The sequence below is a fragment of the Homo sapiens genome, chromosome Y (genome assembly GCF_000001405.40).
Source record: "Homo sapiens chromosome Y, GRCh38.p14 Primary Assembly".
Lineage (NCBI taxonomy): Eukaryota > Metazoa > Chordata > Mammalia > Primates > Hominidae > Homo > Homo sapiens.
In genome coordinates this window covers 5,306,265-5,327,210 of record NC_000024.10, presented here as the reverse complement: position 1 = coordinate 5,327,210, position 20,946 = coordinate 5,306,265, and the positions used below count along the sequence as shown (strand labels likewise).

The following is a 20,946-nucleotide window of genomic DNA, read 5'->3' as shown; positions in this document are numbered from 1 at the left end:
ATTGACCCTGACACCGATTAGGCCCAGCAAATTACCTGGGCTGTACTGCCACAAGGCTTCACAGACAGCCCCCATTACTTCAGTCAAGCCCAAATTTCATCCTTATCTGTTACCTATTTCGGCATAATTCTCCTAAAAACACACGTGCTTTCCCTGCTGATCGTGTCCGATTAATCTCCCAAACCTCAATCCCTTACAAAACAACAACTCCTTTCCTTCCTAGGCATGGTTAGTGCAGTCAGAATTCTTACACAAGAGCCAGGACTGCACCCTGTAGCCTTTCTGTCCAAACAACTTGACCTTACTGTTTTAGCCTAGCCCTCATGTCTGCGTACAGAGGCTGCCGCTGCTTTAATACTTTTAGAGGCCCTAAAAATCACAAACTATGCTCAACTCACTCTCTACATTTCTCATAACTTCCAAAATCTATTTTCTTCCTCATACCTGACGCATATACTTTCTGCTCCCCGGCTCCTTCAGCTGTACTCACACTTTCTTAAGTCCCACAATTACCATTGTTCCTGGCCAGGACTTCAATCTGGCTTCCCACATTATTCCTGATACCACACCTGACCCCCACGACTGTATCTCTCTGGTCCACCTGATATTCACCCCATTTCCCCATATTTCCTTCTTTCCTGTTCCTCACCCTGATCACGCTTGATTTATTGATGGCAGTTCCACCAGGCCTAATCGCCACATACCAGCAAAGTCAGGCTATGCTATAGTACAAGCCACTAGCCCACCTCTCAGAACCTCTCATTTCCTTTCCATCATGGAAATCTATCCTTAAGGAAATAACTTCCCAGTGTTCCATCTGCTATTCTACTACTCCTCAGGGATTATTCAGGCCCCCTCCCTTCCCTACACATCAAGCTCGAGGATTTGCCCCCACCCAGGACTGGCAAATTAGCTTTACTCAACATGCCCGAGTCAGGAAACTAAAATACCTCTTAGTCTAAATAGACACTTTCACTGAATAAAGTAAAGGCCTTTCCTACAGGGTCTGAGAAGGCCTCCGCAGTCATTTCTTCCCTTCTGTCAGACGTAATTCCTCAGTTTAGCCTTCCCACCTCTATACCGTCTGATAACAGATGAGCCTTTATTAGTCAAATCACCAAGCAGTTTTTCAGGCTCTTAGTATTCAGTGAAACCTTTATATCCCTTACGGTCCTCCTTCTTCAAGAAAGGTAGAATGGACTAAAGGTCTTTTAAAAACACACCTCACCAAGCTCAGCCACCAAAAAGGACTGGACAATACTTTTATCACTTTCCCTTCTCAGAATTCAGGCCTGTCCTCGGAATGCTACAAGGTACAGCCCATTTAAGCTCCTGTATAGATGCTCCTTTTTATTAGGCCCCAGTCTCATTCCAGACACCAGACCAACTTAGACTGTGCCCCCAAAAAAACTTGTCATCCCTACTATTTTCTGTCTAGTCATACTCCTATTCTCCATTCTCAACTACTCATACATGCCCTGCTCTTGTTTACACTGCCAGTTTACACTGTTTCTCCAAGCCATCACAGGTGATATCTCCTCGTGCTATCCCCAAACCGCTACTCTTAACTCTTGAAGTAAATAAATAATCTTTGCTGGCAGGACTATGCTGAATCTCCTTAGGCACTCTCTAATCAGATGTCCTAGGTCCTCCCAATTCTTAGACCTTTTATATCTGTTTTTCTCCTTCTTATTCCATTTAGTTTTTCAGTTCATACAAAACCGTATCCAGGCCATCACCAATCATTCTATACGACAAATGTTTCTTCTAACATCCCCACAATATCACCCCTTACCACAAGACCTCCCTTCAGCTTAATCTTTCCCACTCTAGGCTCCCACACAGCCCCTAATGCTGCTCGAAGCAGCCCTGAGAAACATCGTCCACTCTCTCTCCATACCACCCCCCAAAAATTTTCACCGCCCCAACACTTCAACACTATTTTGTTTTATTTTTCTTATTAAGAAGGCAGGAATGTCAGGCCTCTGAGCCCAAGCGAAGCCATCACATCCCCTGTGACTTGCAGGGATACGACCAGATGGCCTGAAGTAACTGAAGAATCACAAAAGAAGTGAATATGCCCTGCCCCACCTTAACTGATGACATTCCACCACAAAAGAAGTGTAAATGGCTGATCCTTGCCTTAACTGGTGACGTTACCTTGTGAAAGTCCTTTTCCTGGCTCATCCTGGCTCAAAAACACCCCCACTGAGCACCTCGCAACCCCCACTCCTGCCCGCCAGGGAACAACCCCCTTTGACTGTAATTTTCCTTTACCTACCCAAATGCTATAAAACGGCCCCACCCCTATCTCCCTTCACTGACTCTCTTTTCGGACTCAGCCCACCTGCACCCAGGTGAAATAAACAGCCTCGTTGCTCACACAAAGCCTGTTTGGTGGTCTCTTCACAGGGACGTGCATGAAAGGAAGGATATATGGAAGAAATAGTGACAAGCTTGGAAGAAAGGCTTCTTCATGTGTACTTTGTTACATGGTTTTAATTTTTAAATCATTTGAATACATCATCTATTAAAAATCCCCAAAATAAATTTAAAAAATTAAAAACCCATAAGAAAAACACTTAAGGGAAAATATATGAACTACATATTCTGCTAAGTGCTGTAAATGCTTGTTCTGTCAATATGATGGAATCTTTTAAATATATGTTCTTTATTTTCTTTAATGATTATTTTGATTAATATATAGAGAGCAGCCATCATTCATCCTTGGCTGCTTGAAACTTGGAGTTGATTTTCAGAGAAATTATTGAGATTACTACTTTCCACTTAAACATTATACCGTAGTGCACATTGAATTGGTTTTGATTACTACCAAAAGGAGTAATTTTCCCCAACAATTTTTAGCATATAAATACAAGCAGAATTTCACTGAATGACAGCAGGATACATAGCAGTGAAATATACAAAAATTGAACTAAATTTTTGTGTTTTGTGTAAAAGAATGGCTCTGGTCCCTGCTCTCAAGTTGCTAACACTAAATTGACTCAAAACATGTATTGTTTGCTTTCTATGGGCCAAAACCTGCCCCTTATTCTTTCTCCATTTTTATTCTAGGCAGAAGATATTACAGAATTCAGGAGTCAGAGAATTAAAGAATTTCTTAGCAACCACAGGCTCACTGAGGTTTATTCAATTTTAGAGAATTTAATTCAAAAGATTAAAATGATGAATGTAGCTCAGCATATGACCTGCAGTTGAAGACACCTGGCTCACAGCTTGCTTTAAGTTTGATACATGAGGTTATTTGGCATTTACTGCCATGAAGTTTGAAGGAAGCATACTGAAAAGAAGACACAGCAATAAACTTTTGTCATTAATTTCTCTCTCACAGTTTCTGACAAGCTGGAAAGAAATGTCATTTGTATTTCTTAATTGGTTTCATTTCCACGCAAATACAGACTTTCAGTAAAAGTTTCTAAAAAGCTATAGACATGAAATTATTAACAACACAAAGCACATACTGAGCCAAGGTGTGAATAGATAATTCTAACAGAAAAGTTACAAAAAAAGTCAAGATCAAAATATGATTAAGACAGGAGAGCAGTTTTTAGAGATGTTTTGGTAAAATAGTTATGAGTTACTAGCCTATACTTTGTAAACATACTTGATGTGGCCAGTATGGCATGTCATTACCCTTTTAGGAACACACAGATCCATATGTATTTACAATGATTAATTAAAAGAGCATTCAGGGGCCGGGTGCAGTGGCTCAAGCCTGTAATCCCAGCACTTTGGGAGGCTGAGGTGGGCTGATCACCTGAGGTTGGGAGTTCAAGACCAGCCTGACCAACACGGAGAAACCCCATCTGTACTATAAATACAAAATTAGCTGGGTATGGTGGCGCATGCCTGTAATCCCAGCTACTCGGGAGGCTGAGGCAGGAGAATTGCTTGAACCCAGGAGGCAGAGGTCGCTGTGAGCCAAGATCACACCATTTCACTCCAGCCTGGGCAAAAAGAGTGAAACTCTGTCTCAAAAAAAAAAAAAAAAAAAAAAAAAAAGAGCATTTGGAGCTTCACTGGACAAGCACAACCAGCTCAGTGGATTTCTGGCAATACCAAGAACATTTTGAGAATCATGCCTGTGCTTTAACCACAGATGAGATTTTAGCTAGTGTCTTAAGGGAAGAACAAAATTATGAGCAAATTCAAACATCATCTTTTGGTTTAGCCTGATGGTTTCTATGACCAACCGTATGTTTATTTATGAAAGAATTTATATTATTTAATTAAAACAAAATAGAAATGAGGGTATATGGTATCACAATCATGTTCATTATTAGTTTTGTGTCTTGCTGTAGAAATACATTTAGTGGGAGCTTCCCTATCATTGGAGTCGAATCTACCTCCACCTTAATTAGTTCTTGGGCTCAATTTCTGACCACACAACCTCACAACATAAAATGTAGTTTTGGTTACTTAGATTAGTGTAGGCCAGGAAACATTGGTGCAAGAAGAAAAAATAAAATAAGAAATCCCTAGGATCAATAAGATATCGTCTGCTACCTCATTTTTTTCCCTAAAATATTCATGCTTTAGGAATGAATTTCATTATTTGAATACATACATATATGTATAAGCAGTCGGCACCTTGTATCCACGGGTTCCACATTCTTGATTTCAAGCAACTGAGGATCAAAAATATTTTGAAAGCCCAATACAAATAACAATACTACAATAAAAAGTAATACAAATATATATAATACAGTATAATGACTATTTACATAGCATTTACATTGTATTAGGTATTATAAGTAATCTAGAAATAATTTAAAATATACAGGAGAAGGTGTGTAGACTATATGTAAATACGATGTATCATTTTATATAAGGGACTTGAGCATCTAAGGATTTTGGTATTACGGGGGTGCTAGAACCAATCCCTTAAAGATACCAAGGGAGGACTGAATATAAATATACATATATATAGCAGATACATAAATAAAATGAGGATTCATATATTGAAATTCTATGGAGTTCTGCATAATTCATAACTCATTTTTACTTATCAAACTATAATCTATAGCTTTATGTATTAACTGAGTATTAATTCTGCTAAATATCAAATTTTTCATATGAATGTACACCATCATTAGAGATGCAAAGACTTAGAAAGGAAATGAAAAGAAAAAAATAAAATATATTTGTGTGGGGGAATGGTGTAATGAAAAAAATATATTTCCCCGCATCTTTCCTGAGAACTTTTTCAATTTTTTTTTTTTTTTTCTGAGACAAGGGCTCAGTCTGTTTCCCAGTCTGGAATGCAGTGGTGTGAACACAACAAGGCAGCCATGACATCCTGGGCTCAAGCAATCCTTCCATCTCAACCTCCCAAGTACCTAGGACCACAAGTGCACGCCACCTGGCCAGTTTTTTAATTTTTTTGTAGAGATGGGTCTCGGTATGTTTCCCAGGCTGGTCTCAAACTCCTGGGCTAAGTGATTCTCCCACCTCAGCCTCACACAGTACTGGGATTACAGATGTGAGCCACCATGCGTGGTCCCTGACTTTTTCAATTTTGCTTTCTAATCTTAGAGGAGAAAACAAACAAAATTAAAGAGAAATGTAAGCAAGATTATCAATAGTTTATACCTTCTTATTAGCTAAAATGGCACCATCACCAGATGAACATCTCTGTCTAATAAATATTGACATGAGTTTGACAGATCCATTAGGCTCAGTTCCACTTTAATCCTAAGTTTTCCCATATATTCATACATACACATACTTTGTACATCATTTTATACAATGTGTATGTATGTGATATGGTTTGGCTGTGTCCCCATCCAAATCTTCATCTTGAATTGTAGCTCTCATAATTCCCACATGTTGTGGGAGTGATCCAGTGGGAGATATTTGAATCATGGGGGTGGTTTCCCTCATACTGTTCTCGTGGTACTTAATGTTTCATGAGATCTGATGGTTTTATAAGGGGTTTCCCTTTTGCTCAGCCCTCATTCTCTCTTGCCTACTGCCATGAAAGACGTGCCTTTCTCCTTACAACATGATTGTGAGGCCTCCCCAGCACATGGAACTGTGAGTCCATTAAACCTCTTTTTCTTTATAAATTACCCAGACATAAAGGTATGTCTTTATCAGCAGCATGAAAATGGACAAATACAATATGATATGTGTATATATTCATATATAGCAGGTACATACACACACACATACACACACACAAACACATACACATACACTTGACTTAGGGCCCCTAAACTATATATAAACTTGTCTATTTATTCAGTCCTCTTACATAGTCCTCCTGAGAGCAAGTGAAGATAATGTCCCATGTGTTCAAAGTGCCTTGTATATTAAATCATAAAGGGAAAAGGGGCCTGCATATATCATTCAGAATGAATCTATATTTATTCAGTTTGTGAATAAGGTAGACAGACTCTCCCTTGATTATCTGAAATGTGAAGGCAGATTGATCTTCAGCAAGTGACTTGCATTTTGGAAAATATCAAACAACATTTCAATCTAACCTTACTTTCCTTCAGAAATATATGTAAGGGAAACATCGTGTCTTTGATGCCCACTGTGATAACAACATAAGTAACTAATTCTATTATTTGCAGTTTTATAATCTTTAATAATTGTGACAGTATATTCAAGAACGTGTCTAAAGATGTTGAACACCTTAACTTTGTTTCTAAAAGAAAAAATGCATGATGATTGGCCTAAAAGTGCTCAATGATTCTCTTCGTCTTGGAACTTGAATAGCAAAAAGTAATTCAGAATCAACTCTGTTGCCACTTAAATAACTTCTCTAAGATTTTTCTAGGAAAATGGAAGATTTCCCAAAGTGAAGATTTTTGCCTTGTCAATCAATATCCATTAGCAATTTCACTACGTGTACAAATTTAATTACTAAAAAGCAAAGTCATTACCCTTGATATGTAGGACATAAGGTTTAAATGCCATATATTTTTATATTACAGATTGTTCAAATTTCATGCTTATAGCATATGTTCACTGTATCTTTGGTGACTTTCTGCCTGAATTAGAATTTTTTATTGTTTAAAGCTTTGAAGTAGGCTTAATTTAGGACTATAGTGACGACAACATCAAAAGGAGGTTACTTCTAGATGAGAAACTCAATAAAAATTACAGTATGAGAGAGAAATGCAAATTCCTTCCTTTGGGATGTGCCATAGTAGCCCCAGAATGAAATATTATCATTTTATTAAATATACGTTAAAAGATATATCTTATTCAGGGGTACCTACCTCTAAACAACAAACTAGAACATTGTGAAGAACATTTGAAAAGTATTTTTGGAGAAAAAAACATAATATTAGGAATAGAATTCTAAGGACATGTGGTACAAAATGTCACAAAAGTAACCAAAGAAGAAAAGAGCAGGTAAGGAGACAAAGAGAGGATATGAAATGCAGAAAAAGCCTGAAAATTAGTGAGCAATGGAAGAGTAAATGCATTAGCTTTGTTGAAACACTAATGACAACCTAGATATTTTTGTGCTGGAAATTTCACCACAGCTGGGGATTGGGGGTTAGGGGATAGGAGGACTTGGATTTGGGATTTGGACTTGCATTTTTATTAGCTGAAATCTCTACAGAATTCACTTGTTGCCCCATGTTCTTCAGTTGATAATGCATATATTACCATGCATACTGCAATGAAGGGCCTTTGTTCTTGGATATATCTTTAATGTAATTTAAATATTGATAATAATATGTGTGTTTGTGGAGTGACATCATAAACATTCAAATTAAAGAGGGATGTTCATGTTTTTCTAAACCTCTAGATATTAGAAATTAATACTTTACTTATTTCAAAATATTCTCCAAGTAAATAAAAAGCACTACAGTTGTTGTTGTTTTTCCCCAAAGACAGAAGGTATTCATGATGGCATAGAATATTGTCCTAGTGAATTATGTTGTTAAAATCCAACTGTCCTAAACACTGAAGTACTAGAGGCTAGGATAATTGGAAAGTATGATCATCCAATTGGCAGACAGCCTAGTAGTGGACATGATAGAGCAGTTAAATGTCTCACATTGTCCTAGTGTATAAAATGAGGGAGAAATAAGATATTTTTCTACACCCTGATTTTTTGTGTATTCCTTTAGGAAAAGAGAACAAGTGGGCTTGTCCTCATATATACCTGTATATCCTCAAAGATAGAGATAAACAGTTAAATCTGAATAACACCTGCATATCATAGGGCATAAGAATACTTTTAAGCAAGAGGTTATGGCTCAAAATCAAATCTCTATTTCTAATATCTAAAGAAACAGATTCTGCAATGATAAGTAACCTATCTCTACTCATTTTATAAAATAATTCAAATGGTTTGCAAAGAAAAGTCATGATAAAATGCTGTTGTCCATTTTTTTTTCAGTTATTTAAACCAGTGTATGGGATGTCAACAAAACAACCATGCTAGATATTATTATTTTTTAATTTAATGGTTTATACACACACACACACACACACACACACACACACATATTACTTTTTTGTGTGGTGCTGGATATTTTTAAATAGCAAAATATAAATAGGTAAAAAGGAATGAAGCTTTATGAATAAAAAATTCATATATAATTTGTGTTTAATGAAAACAGTTAGATTTAGGACTAAAAAGAAGTCATGAGTTTCAGTAAATGCATATTAAATTTGTATCTTGTAATAACCAAATTAAATGAGAAATGTGGACATTTAAATATGTATAATACCCAAATGACACTTTAAAATGTTTGGAGAGTTCATCTCTTGCGTATCACTTTATATTCTATATATTTGTGTTACAAATGATGATACACTGGAAAATTGAGTCACTTTCCGTGATGAGTCTGAGCATGTTCTATGCCTCTTTTCTGCTCCACTAGACATTTGTCATTCTTGGTGGCAAATCTGTAACTAATTTTCTCAGGCTACTGCTTTTCATACAGATAAATTCCTGAAAAAATAGCAGTAGAAGGGCTGAGCATGCATAGATGAATCTCAAGAGGGAACAGTGATTAGGTATAAAATCATAGGAGACATTTGTGCCTATTCACTTTTTACTAGGCAAAATATATGCCAAGAATAAAGGTAATTTCCTTAGGGAATTCTTACCACTACTCTGGAACCCTGTTGTCCATACGTTAAATAATCTATTTAAATACGGTCTGGTTCACACTGATGTAGTAATAAATTTCTTCTATAGTTCAAGCTGTAGATAAAACTATCTCATAATTAATATAGTTTTCTCTCTGAAATGGTTACATGATTTAAAATGTGCAAATTATGCTAAAAGGGAAAAGCAATGAAATAATATTTATGTATCAAAATACATTCTCGAGTATATTCCTCTTCTCACTTTTCAGCATGTGAGGATGAAAACGTACCCTCTCACCACACAATAGTCACATTTCTCTATATACACCTTGTAACAGTCTGTTCCCGCATTGCTGTGAAGAAATACCTGAGACTGGGTAATACATAATGAAAAGAGATGTAATTGGCTCAGCATTCTCCAGGTTGTATAAGAAGCATAGTGGCTTCTGGGGAGGCGTCAGGAAACTTTCAATTATGGCAGAAGGTGAAGCAGGCACCTCTGACATGGCCATAGGAGGAGGAAGAGAGTGAGGGGTGGGGTGCCACACACTTTCAAACAACCAGATCTTGCAATAACTCAATCAGTCACAATTACTACAACAACATTAAGGAGGATGGTGGTAAACCATGAGAAACTGCCCCCATCATCCAATCACCTCCTACCAGGCCCCACCTCCAACACTGGGGATTACAACTGGACATGAGATTTGGGCAAGGACACAGATCCAAACCACATCTCTGTGAAAGGAAAATATCTTGGAACCCTGAAATCACTCAGCGAAAGGGAAATGTCAAGCTGGGAACTGCTTAGGGCAAATCTGCCTCCTATTCAAAGTTACCCCTTAGCTCATTGAGACAAATGCCTATCTGATTGTTTCCTTTGGAGAGGTTAATCAGAAACTCAAAATAATGCAAACGTTTGTCTCATATCTACATATGACCTGGAAGCTCTCTCCCCTGGAGTCATCCTGCTTTTGCTTCGAGTTGTCTTGCCTTTCCAACCGATCTAATGTTCATCTTACATGTGTTAATTGGTATCTCATGTCTCCCTAAAATGTACTAAACCAAGCTGTGCTTTGACTACGTTGGGAACATGTTTTGAGGACCTCCTGAGGCTGTTATGGGCGTGTGTCCTCAACCTTGGCAACATAAACTTTCTAAAATAACTAAGACTTGTCTCAAATTTTCAGAGTTCACATCACACAGAGATCACTACTATATACATTTGTGTTCCTTAGAGTAAGGCTGGTGTCTTCAGTGTATTACCTTGTAAAGTTCTGAAAGATATAAATTGCAGTTCCTTGCCTGCTGAGATATTGGGCAATTATACAACCACATCAAACTACCTAGATTTGAGAATGAGGACTAAGCTCTAACTTTTTATCTTGCCCAAATTCCTATCTAAGGGGTCTGGGGAGTCACTCACACCCTACAAACCATAAATTCCATCAAATGGGGTTTATTTAACCTTGTATATCGTGGCTTACTTTCCAATCTGACTCGGGAATAACAAGGAAGAAATTAAAAATATTTTACCCCAAAATATATTTCCTTGCCATATCTTGAAATGGCCCTGCAGAGCCATCCTTTGTGGGGAAAATCCGCATTATATAGAGAATCTTCTTTCCTCTTTGTCTTCCTTCCTTCCTTTCCAGAACCAGGACATAATCAACTAAGAGCCAGGCACTCTTTTAGGTCTTATTGTAAAATAGGAAACATTTTACAACCTGCTCTCTCTGAAGTCCGCTATCTGAGAGCTTCCTCTGCACAATAAAACTTGGTCTCCACAATCCTTTATCTTAACCTAAGCATTTCCTTTCTATTGATCCCAGGCCTTCAGATAAACTCAGCCAATTGTCAACCAGAAAATGTTTCAATTTACCAATAGCCTGGAAGCCCCCACTTTGAGTTGTCCCACCTTTCTGAACCAAGCCAATGTATTTCTTAAATGTATTTGATTAATGTCCCATGTCTTCCTAAAATATATAAAACCAAGCTGTGCCCCGACCACCTTGGGCACATGTTCTCAGGACCTCCTGAGAGCTGTGTCACGGGCCATGGCCACTGATATTTGGCTCAGAATAAATCTCTTCAAATATTTTAGAGAGTTTGACTCTTTTGGTAGACAAGAATAATTACATATAGAGTTGAAAAATGCAAAGATAGGCATGTCTGACCACAGAGAAGACAGGAAGTCTGACAACAAATCCATACTGGCAGTCAAATCTGGGAATTTAAATGGAATATGCAAACAGTTGTTAGAATGTACTTCACAGCCTTCTGTTATCATTGTATTAGGTTGGTTCAAAAGTAATAGTTGGATACATAACTCTGCAGTCTTCTAAACTGACTTCCTGTTTTAAGAACTATAAATCATAAAAGAAAGGAAGAAAGAAAATCTCACTAAAGCATTGCTACTTATGTTAATATGATAGCAACTCAATTTATTCAAGTGCTGATCAATGCTAAACAATCAGAGTGGTTCATGAATTATGTATTACAAAAGAGCCTGGTGCTTTTTAGTGGAATGTCACAAGGTTAACCAACTGGTATACATGGATTCCCTTAGGCAGAATTTTAGCTGTAGTGCTTACTGCTCCAGTTGATGGAAGAATGGCAAAATAGAGTTTTGTTTGAAACACATAATGAACTGCTCTCATGAACTTCAACCTTCAAAAGTCATTATACATGAGAGTTTGATGCTGCAGACAATTACTGGATCTCCATTTGTCTGTCAATATCATTTCTTGTTGCTTTATAACTTAACCATATCTCAGAGATTATTGACAGCACAATTGTCATAGATTGCTCTGTTTATACAAATGCATTAGCAATTAAAACAACTTGTTATGCGTATTTCCTACTTAAGGGTTCTCTAGCCTGTTTCAAGTCTGTCTCTGTTTGTTAGAAATGCTTGCTTCTGTAAAACCTGAAGGCCTAGCCTCCACTTTCCCATATATGCCTCCTTCACGTAACTATTTCTCTAGTTTCCATTTTTTATTAAAATTCATGTCATTTTAAAATTGAGGGCAATTCCATTTGAAGCTAAAGTTGGAGTATTGATGAATCAAAACTGGCATTTTCCTAAGAGTTTCTAAGATGCAGGAATCTGTCTATACTACTAATGAGGTTATAAATTTAAACAATCAACTAACTCTAAGATCTTTTGGAACCCACTTTTACAAGAGATTTCTATCATTCTGCTCTAGTTATTAAAAATCTTGCTATTATGCAGAACTCTTAAAAATTTCATTATCATTAGCCTATCATGCCCTCAATAAAAAGATGGCACTGTATCTGATAGCATCAATTCTATGTAAAGCTCTTTTCACATGCAACAGTGTATCTTGACGTTTCCAACAGTTACAACTCTTAGCAATGCCACACAATCATAATTCCTCATGAACGGAATCTATTATTTCAAAATGTAGTTCAAAATGTAGACTGTAGAAAAGTTAAATGAAGTAGGTATTCGATTACACCAATATTAAATAAAATAAGGATGATCATCTTGAGGAAAAATGGGACCACATTGCAAAAGATTTATTGCAATGTTATTAAAATACTGAATCAGCCTCTGAGCAGTCTGTCAATTTATTTAATCAAACCTCACATCACCTGCTGCAATGGAGATTTCCTTCTAAACAAGCAGAAAAGGTTTAAAAACCAATTTACTGCCAGGCACGATGGCTCATGCCTGTAATCCCAGCACTTTGGGAGGCCGAGGAGGGTGGATCACCTGAGGTCAGGAGTTTGAGACCAGCCTGACCAATATGATGAAACCCTGTCTCTACTAAAAATACAAAAATTAGCCAGGCATGGTGGCATGTGCCTGTAATCCCAGCTACTTGGGAGGCTGAGACAGGAGAATCGTTTGAACCCGGGAGGAGGAGGTTGCAGTGAGCCAAGATTGTGCCATTGCACTCCAGCCTGGGCAACAAGAGTGAAACTCCATCTCAAAAAGAAAATAAAGGAAAAAATAATTTACTTATGGTAGTTATGTCCCCATTCTCCTAAAGGAATGTAGAATGTGGGTTTTTATTTTATTTCAGATATTCCCCTCCCATAAAGCTAATTTCAAGAGACCATGAGAGATTTATTTATAAATTCAATGAAACTAATAGCATATAATTATATATGACTATGTGAGCAATAATGATTTAACATCTACACAGATTAGACTGTTCCGAAATCAAATTGTTATATTTAGATTGGTCATTATTTGGGAAGACTCTCTGTCCTCAGTTTTAATGAATGGATATCATCATTCTCTTTATGTTAAAACATGTGTCTTCTATATTATATGTATAGTTATATCACAACTTATAATTGTCTTGCAAATGTTTTATAGTCAAGGTGTAAAATTAGAAAATCAGAATGTTTATGCTTCTTCTGAACATTAGGTATAACATACCTGTAAATATTTGAAATAATTATTGTATACTGCCCAGTAACAGGAAATTGACTTCAGATTCACAGATGAGATGTTTCTACATCCCAAGAACAATTTCATTCTCCATTCCTCCCTAGAGTTAAACAACTTATCTTAGGTTTTGTTTTGTTTTGTTTTGGTAATTTCTTCTTTTCTGCTACCTGAGTATAACAACGTGAAATATTAAGAAATAATATATGAATGTTTTACCTTTAAGATGGTAGTATTTTGTAGGACACTACAATAGTCTCCAAAACCAGTGGATATGCCAAACAATAAATTTTTCTAAGGCAGTAGAAGGAAAGAAAAACCAATTCTTGGAGAAATAAAATGACCTAAAAGGTTATTGGGGGATTTTGTATTCATTCCACAGAAAGAAACGTACTTTACAGTAGGGAGATCCCTATTTGGGCGTTCTTATTTGAATCTGTATTTCCCAGATGTGTGTTGGCTCCTCCAATCAAAACTTGCTGATAAATCAGAAGTGTTTTTGAGCTTTGGAGCATAATTTTGATGAATTGTAATAAGCAAAAGTAATTTCTCTTCTTACAACCCATTTCCTACTTATTGAAAATGAGAATTATCAGATAATTCAAGGACCAACTAAATGAACAGACATATAGATGAGTTCCTAATGATTTCCCAGGACATGGATACATGGATCAAAGCATTAAAAAAGAGAATTCCTTAAAGGAAAAAAAAAATCTAATACTTTATCTAAAACAGTGACATAATTATTGTTATGGTGTGTTTATTTTTATTTGTTAACAAAAATGAGAATAAACTGCTACAGCTATTAAAGCAATTGAAAAAATATTCAAGAGCAAAAATGTGTTGCTCAGAGTTATATAACCTAAAGATCCTATCACTGTAAATTTATTAAATCTATATAATCTCTTCATTTTAAATGCAATTTTTATAATGATTACATATTTCCCTACTTAATTCTACTGGATATAGCTGTAATAACTTTAATTTCCAAGAATGTAGTATAACTGGAAGTCTCACACTCAAAATAATTGGGACTTTAAGATAACGAAAGTGATCAAGGCCTTATATGCAGTTAAATTGCTTATATATATTTCTTATATATATTTCTTATATATATTTCTTATATATATTTCTTATATATATTTCTTATATATATATCTTATATATATAAGAAATATATATCTTATATAAATATATAAGCAATTTTCAAACTAAGTAAAATCAGCATTTTTTAACTCAGATTAATCATTCAGCATAACTCATTATTTGCCATTACGAGTACATATTTGGAGGGCAAAGTGATATCCGACATGATATAAAATGAATTCCATTTTTAGCTTGCTGGGTCATAATTTCAACATTAAATGATAAAGGGAAAGTTAAGCATTTGAAAACGATTATCATGATTTGATTAGATATGAATTACGTACAAACCTGTCTGTGTGTGGAGGAAAAGTTAAATATTAAAATTAAACTCAACTGGACACAGACAATGGTCACCAAGTCCCAAAACAGGTTGAGTGAGCCCCTTGAGGCATTCATCCAGCACTGTTTCGGAGATATCGCTCTCTCAATCTGTTCTTGTATATTAGTTATTGAAAGACAACAGAATAGCAAAAAACAAGTTGACCTTTTTGTGTTCCTTGAGCCCAGTCGTGAAGGGTCCTTGTGACTGGGCCTCATGCCAAACAACTTACAAAAAGAACTAGGAGCCAGGCACGGTGGCTCACGCCTGTAATCCCAGCACTTTGGGAGGCCAAGGCACGATCACCTTAGATAGGGAGTTCAAGACCAGCCTGACCAACATGCAGAAACCCCGCCACTACTAAAAAATACAAAATTAGCCAGGCGTGGTGGTGCCTGCCTGTAATCCCAGCTACTCAGGAGGCTGAGGCAAGAGAATCACTTAAAACTGGGAGGCAGAGGTTGTGGTGAGCTGAGATCGTGCCATTGCACTCCAGCTTGTACAACAAGAGGGAAACTCCATCTCAAAAAAATAAACAAATAAAAAAGAGCTAGGGTCCCAGACCACCCAGACCACCCTAAAGCTTCATGAGACCTCTCCTCATCTGTGCTGAACAGGTGACCAACCATGGAGCTCAGGCTGTTGCTTCCCAGTCTGGTGATGCTTCCTCCACAGTCTGGTGAGTATATATATATATATGTGTGTGTATATATATATATGTGTGTGTGTGTGTGTATATATATATATATATATATATATATCTTTTCTCTTTTCCCCTTCCAATTGCAATTTGCTTATTATGTCATTTGTTTATTATATGATTTGCTTATTATATCTGTATTGCCATATACTTGGGATAAAGGCTGTTTACCCTTAAAAGTATTGTGTGTGCCTTTTCGTCTCCCCTCATGTGTCTCCCACACAGAACACTGTCAAAAAATATGCTTAATATAGTAAAATAAAGACATCTGTGTCATTGTCTTTCTCATCAAAAAAAGTTTTGTATTTTTAAGTGCAATAAAATATGAAATACAAGGGTGTATGTCCTCTATTGCACAAAACCATAAACTTTATGGAACTTATATCTATTCTTTATTTAGCAGTTTGCTTAGATAACCTGTGCTATACATTTTACTTCTTTGAGGTACAGATAGTTTTTTTATCTTCAATAGACAAACTTTTCATAAACACTATCAATTAGGCAGTTATTACCATTTCTGCAGCCCAAAGAATATTCCACTTCAAAGACGTGAGGAGAAGTGGAGTCTCTAATTAAGGGTCAATGTTCTGGATTTAACTGTTTATAACCATGCATATTTAATGTTAATATGCAGGTTATTCACAATGTTTGTAATTTCATATCAATATTTAATATGCAATTCCTGAAATGATATATCTTTATTATATTTTTATTTTATTTTTATTATTATTTTAAACAATATTTTTAATCAGTTATACCATAAGAAACAAGAAAGTCAAATGTATTGGTATTAAGTAAACTTCAGTCAAAATCTTCCTTACTAAGTTTGGTATAAAAGAGGGGTTTTCAACAAAAATTTAAGACAAGCTACATAAGTAATTTCTGGTAGCCACAGTAAAAGTAAAAGCCAAAACGATCAGGTGAAATTATCTGTTTTATTTAATCCAATATGCCTAAAATATTCAAATTTCAACATGCAACCAATGTGAATATTAATGTTTTATCAATGAGCTATTTTACATTGTCTTTTTCATAGTAAGTGATCAAAATCTGGTATGTATTATATACTTACGGCATATCTTAATTCAGACTAGTCATGTGTCAGGTGCTTTAAAGTCACACATAGCTACTAGTTACTGTACTAGACAGCATAGGCATAGAATATGTCTGCAATGGTGTTTTACTTTTGATAGATGTAAGTGCATAAAACCCATGAAGTTCCAGCTCTGTGATATTTTTGTTTTCCTTTCTTTCTTGCATAGGTGTTATTTGGGAAGAAAAAAAATGTTCTAACCATAACTTAACATTTTTTCTTTAGTCTTTGAAGTCTCAATATGCCAGATGGTAGAATTTCTTTGGACATTTTTTTTTTTTTTTGCTTCTATAATATGACGGTGGGGGTTGTAAAAGCTTTAGCATAGCTGAGCACATACTGTTCAGTAATGGCAGAATTCCAGGGTGAAAAAACACAGGCAGCCATGGCATGTGGGTGGCTTTTTTTTTTTTTTTTTTTTGCAACCAAATTAAGAAAAGACTTTTAGGGAATGAATTTCTAACATAAGAAGAGTCAAACAGGGAGGTTTAAATCGAGTAGTCAGGACCCAATGAAAGGTTAATTTTGTTAAATTAAATAAGCAGGAGCCTATTGGATTGAGGCTGTTTCCGTACTTTGAATTCCTACCAAACAAACCACAAACTACAACCTCTTTTAGTATATAAACCAACCGAAACCCAATTTAGATGTATATTTTGTAACAAAGAGCGAAGTTTCAGCCAATCACAAGACACTGAGCTTCAGTCAATCACAAGCAGCAAACTGATCAGACCATGCCAAATGAGGCAGTCATCTAGCTCTAGCCAATCAGGTGATTACTCTGCTTTTGTATTCAGACTATAAGAGCTCACTGTCCACACTACTATGCAGAGTTCTCTGAACCTGTTCTGGTTCTGAGTGCCGCCTCATTCATGAACTTGCTGAAATGAACTACTAAATTTAATTTGTCTAAAGTTATTTTTTTTTCCAACAGTTTTAAGTCTAACCAATTAGAGCTACATGTAACAAATCATATTTCTCTTATATCAATAAAGAAGCCTGTGATGAAATGAATAATTGACTCAGACTGTATTAATGAAAGTAGCCTAAGATCATTTACAATCATAACTAAAATTATATCCAGTGATGTCACATTGTATAATAATCACTCTTTAAAAAGCTCTCTAACATTAAGAGGTAGCCCAACCCTCTAAAGGTCAAGAGGTAGTCTAACACTGGTAGTCCAACCAAGTGCTTGTGATCCTCTAGAGGAGCAAGTACTACATGCTAGCTGCACTCTCAGAGTTTTTGTAGAAGTGTAATAAAATCTTTCTCAATATTATGTGTAAATTATTTAAGTAAACTTTTTTGATCTTTAGGAAGTGTTAGTTAAAATTAGACTATTTCTTTTTTTTTTTTTTTGAGACTGTGTTTCAGTCTTGTTGGCTAGGATGGAGTGCAATAGTGCGATCTTGGCTCACCGCAACCTCTGCTTCCCTGGTTCAAGCGATTCTCCTGCCTCAGTCTCCCTAGTAGCAGGGATTACAGGCATGCGCCAGCACACCCAGCTAATTTTGTATTTTTAGTAGAGACCGGGTTTCTCCATGTTGGTCAGGCTGGTCTTAAACTCCCAACCTCAGTTGATTCATTCTCTTCAGCCTCCCAAAGTGCTGGGATTACAGGCGTTAGCCACTGCACCCGGCCCGAACTCTTCCAAATTTTCAAAAACTAGACTATTACTAAAACGGTGAGCTTAACAAAAATGGTCTAGTAACGTGCATAAATAAAGTAAGCTATTCAGTTGGTAGCTTCTTGATCAAATGTTGTTGTTGTTGTTGTTTTTGACGGAGTCTTGCTCTGTTGCCCAGGCTGAAGTGCAGTGGTGCAATCTCGGCTCACTGCTGCAACCTCTGCCTCCCAGGTTCAAGCAGTTCTCTTGCCTCAGCCTCCAGAGTAGCTGGGATTACAGGCATGCACCACCACACCCGGCTAATTTTTGTATTTTTAGTAGAGACGGATTTTACCATGTTGGTCAGGCTGGTCTCGAACTCCTGACCTCATGATCCCCCGCCTCAGCCTCCCAAAGTGCTGGGATTACAGACGAGAGCCACCGTGCCTGGCTCTAAGATGCTTTTTATAGAGTTATAGTTATCATATATCCAGATTTTAAAATTATTCATTAAGTAAAACAAAATTTAATTTGGGTCTTGAGAAGGACAACTTGAGTTTGATATCATGTTTAACACAACCCAAAATGATGGTAAAACACATTTTTAGAGGTCTTTTGAACTTTGTTAATGCAGCTTTAAGAAACAGTGCTGTGTAAAGAAACTGTATATTTAAAATATGTAGTTTTTTACTTTGCAGTTTACATGACTATTTGAAAATTCCCCTCATATTTAAAATAAAGTGCTATAATTTTTTCTGTAGTCTAAAAAATGCAGAGAAAGTTCTCAAAGTCATAAATTCCTTAAAGTTGTAATTTTGTAGTTCACTCCAATTTATTTCTTGGGTTTATGTTGTATTGTTTTTAAGGAAGCACACATCTTAAGTTTTAGGTGCAGCATTCAAGGTGGAAATGCTCTTCTCTTAACCAGTAGGGTGAGCCAAGATACCATTACTGTAGGATTTTCATGTGACACAGTGTCAGCCCTTAGTAAAATTCAAAAATAAATAAAATAGTAAGCTAAAGTATTGTGTGCCTTACATAAATTTCTGGTGACTCTTGCTTGCTCTGACACAGTTCCATCCAACCATATATTTCCTAGATAAATGTATTATTTCTGACAAGATACTCATTTCTAATCTTACAATATTACAGGGTTAACTGTGATGATTCACAGTGTTAATAGGATCTAGGCTGTCAACCATAACTAGGGGTCTGTCATCTAAGCACTGCTGTGGTTTTGACAGAATAAACATGGCAGGCTCAAATTCATCACACATCAAAGTTTACAGACTCACAGTTACATATTTTGAATATATTATAAAATTCTACTGCATCTTCTATCAATCCTGCAATAATTGTGTTACTTAAATTTAAATATTTGTAGAATTAATACTTATTTTTTTAAGGTGAATGAAGCAACAGTTGGAAAGCCAAGAGAAGCCACTTGTTGTGAAAATATGTTTTTTCCAGCTATTTTCAACCTGAAATTGATAGTACATGCCATCATGTTAATGCTTCTGTAATTATTAACAAACTTAATGAAATTTGCTATACTGTTCCAAAGCATTTCATATTTAAGTTTTAAATAAGAATACATATTTTTGTAGGCTCTTAGTCATGTACTAGCTTTCACATGCAGTCAAATGACTCCAATTCAAGTCATCTGCCCATTTGCCTTAAGCATCTCTGATACTTCTTTGCTTCTTAATAAAGCACATTGGTCATCCTATTAGTATGATTTAAAAGGTTTTTAATTTAATACAACTATCCCATCTTATCACACATTTTTAAATACTCCGTATTATCCTTGTGACAACAAGAGCAAAACCTATCACACTATTCACTTCATTTCGGTGACATTCAGACAAATGATTTCAGATGTCAATGTGTACTTCAGCAATTTACTAGTTATGTCAAAGAAATATGGTAGCCTTCTGGAAAGTGATGGTTTAATCTGTTGAAGAAATTATAAGATCTCAAAGTCTAGGTGAGCATATATGCAAATTTATGCTTCATATAGAAGTATTCTTATCTGTAAACTAAAACCTTTATTTAGTGTTTAAAACCTATTCAATTTTATTTCTCTCTACATCCCAACTCCTTAAGTGCATAAGAGTTAGACTGTGGTGTCAGGTAGGCCTGGGTTTCAGTCTTGGCTTTGCCACATAATGGATTTGTGACATCACTGAAAAAATTGTTAAACTATTCTAAGTCTCAGTTTCCCCATTAGTGAAACAAAGATAATAAACTGTACCTACCCCAGAGTATTGTTGTAAAGATAAATTGAAATAAATGATGTAAGGTACTCAGCCCATTGGGTACTTTAATTTTCTGTAATAAAGCCATTCCATTCAGTATTTATAAAACAACATATTTTTGGTCTATTTTGCTATTATTCTAGCCACTGCTGCAAATTAAATAACCATCATATAATCATCATGCCTTGAGATCAAATCAAGTTCTCACTTCTGCTATGAAACCAATATTGAGTTATGTGTGCATATATGTGTATGTTTGTATGTGTGTGTGTGTGTGTGTGTGTGTGTTATTGGCTCAGCCAAAGTTGTAT

At 36.0% G+C, this 20,946-nt stretch overlaps 1 protein-coding gene across 5 annotated transcripts in view, besides 1 other annotated feature; it reads right to left on the bottom strand.

Moving 5' to 3' along the window:
• Positions 1 to 20,946, bottom strand: part of PCDH11Y (protocadherin 11 Y-linked) — a 741,933-nt gene that overhangs the window by 415,018 nt on the left and 305,969 nt on the right. The window lies entirely within an intron of this gene.
• Positions 1,812 to 2,388: an enhancer, noted in NCBI's record as "NANOG hESC enhancer chrY:5192864-5193440 (GRCh37/hg19 assembly coordinates)". NCBI's record gives its function as "activates a minimal SCP1, AML or CMV promoter by ChIP-STARR-seq in naive H9 embryonic stem cells {active_cell/tissue: H9 hESC(naive)}" and the evidence as "EXISTENCE:reporter gene assay evidence [ECO:0000049][PMID:30033119]".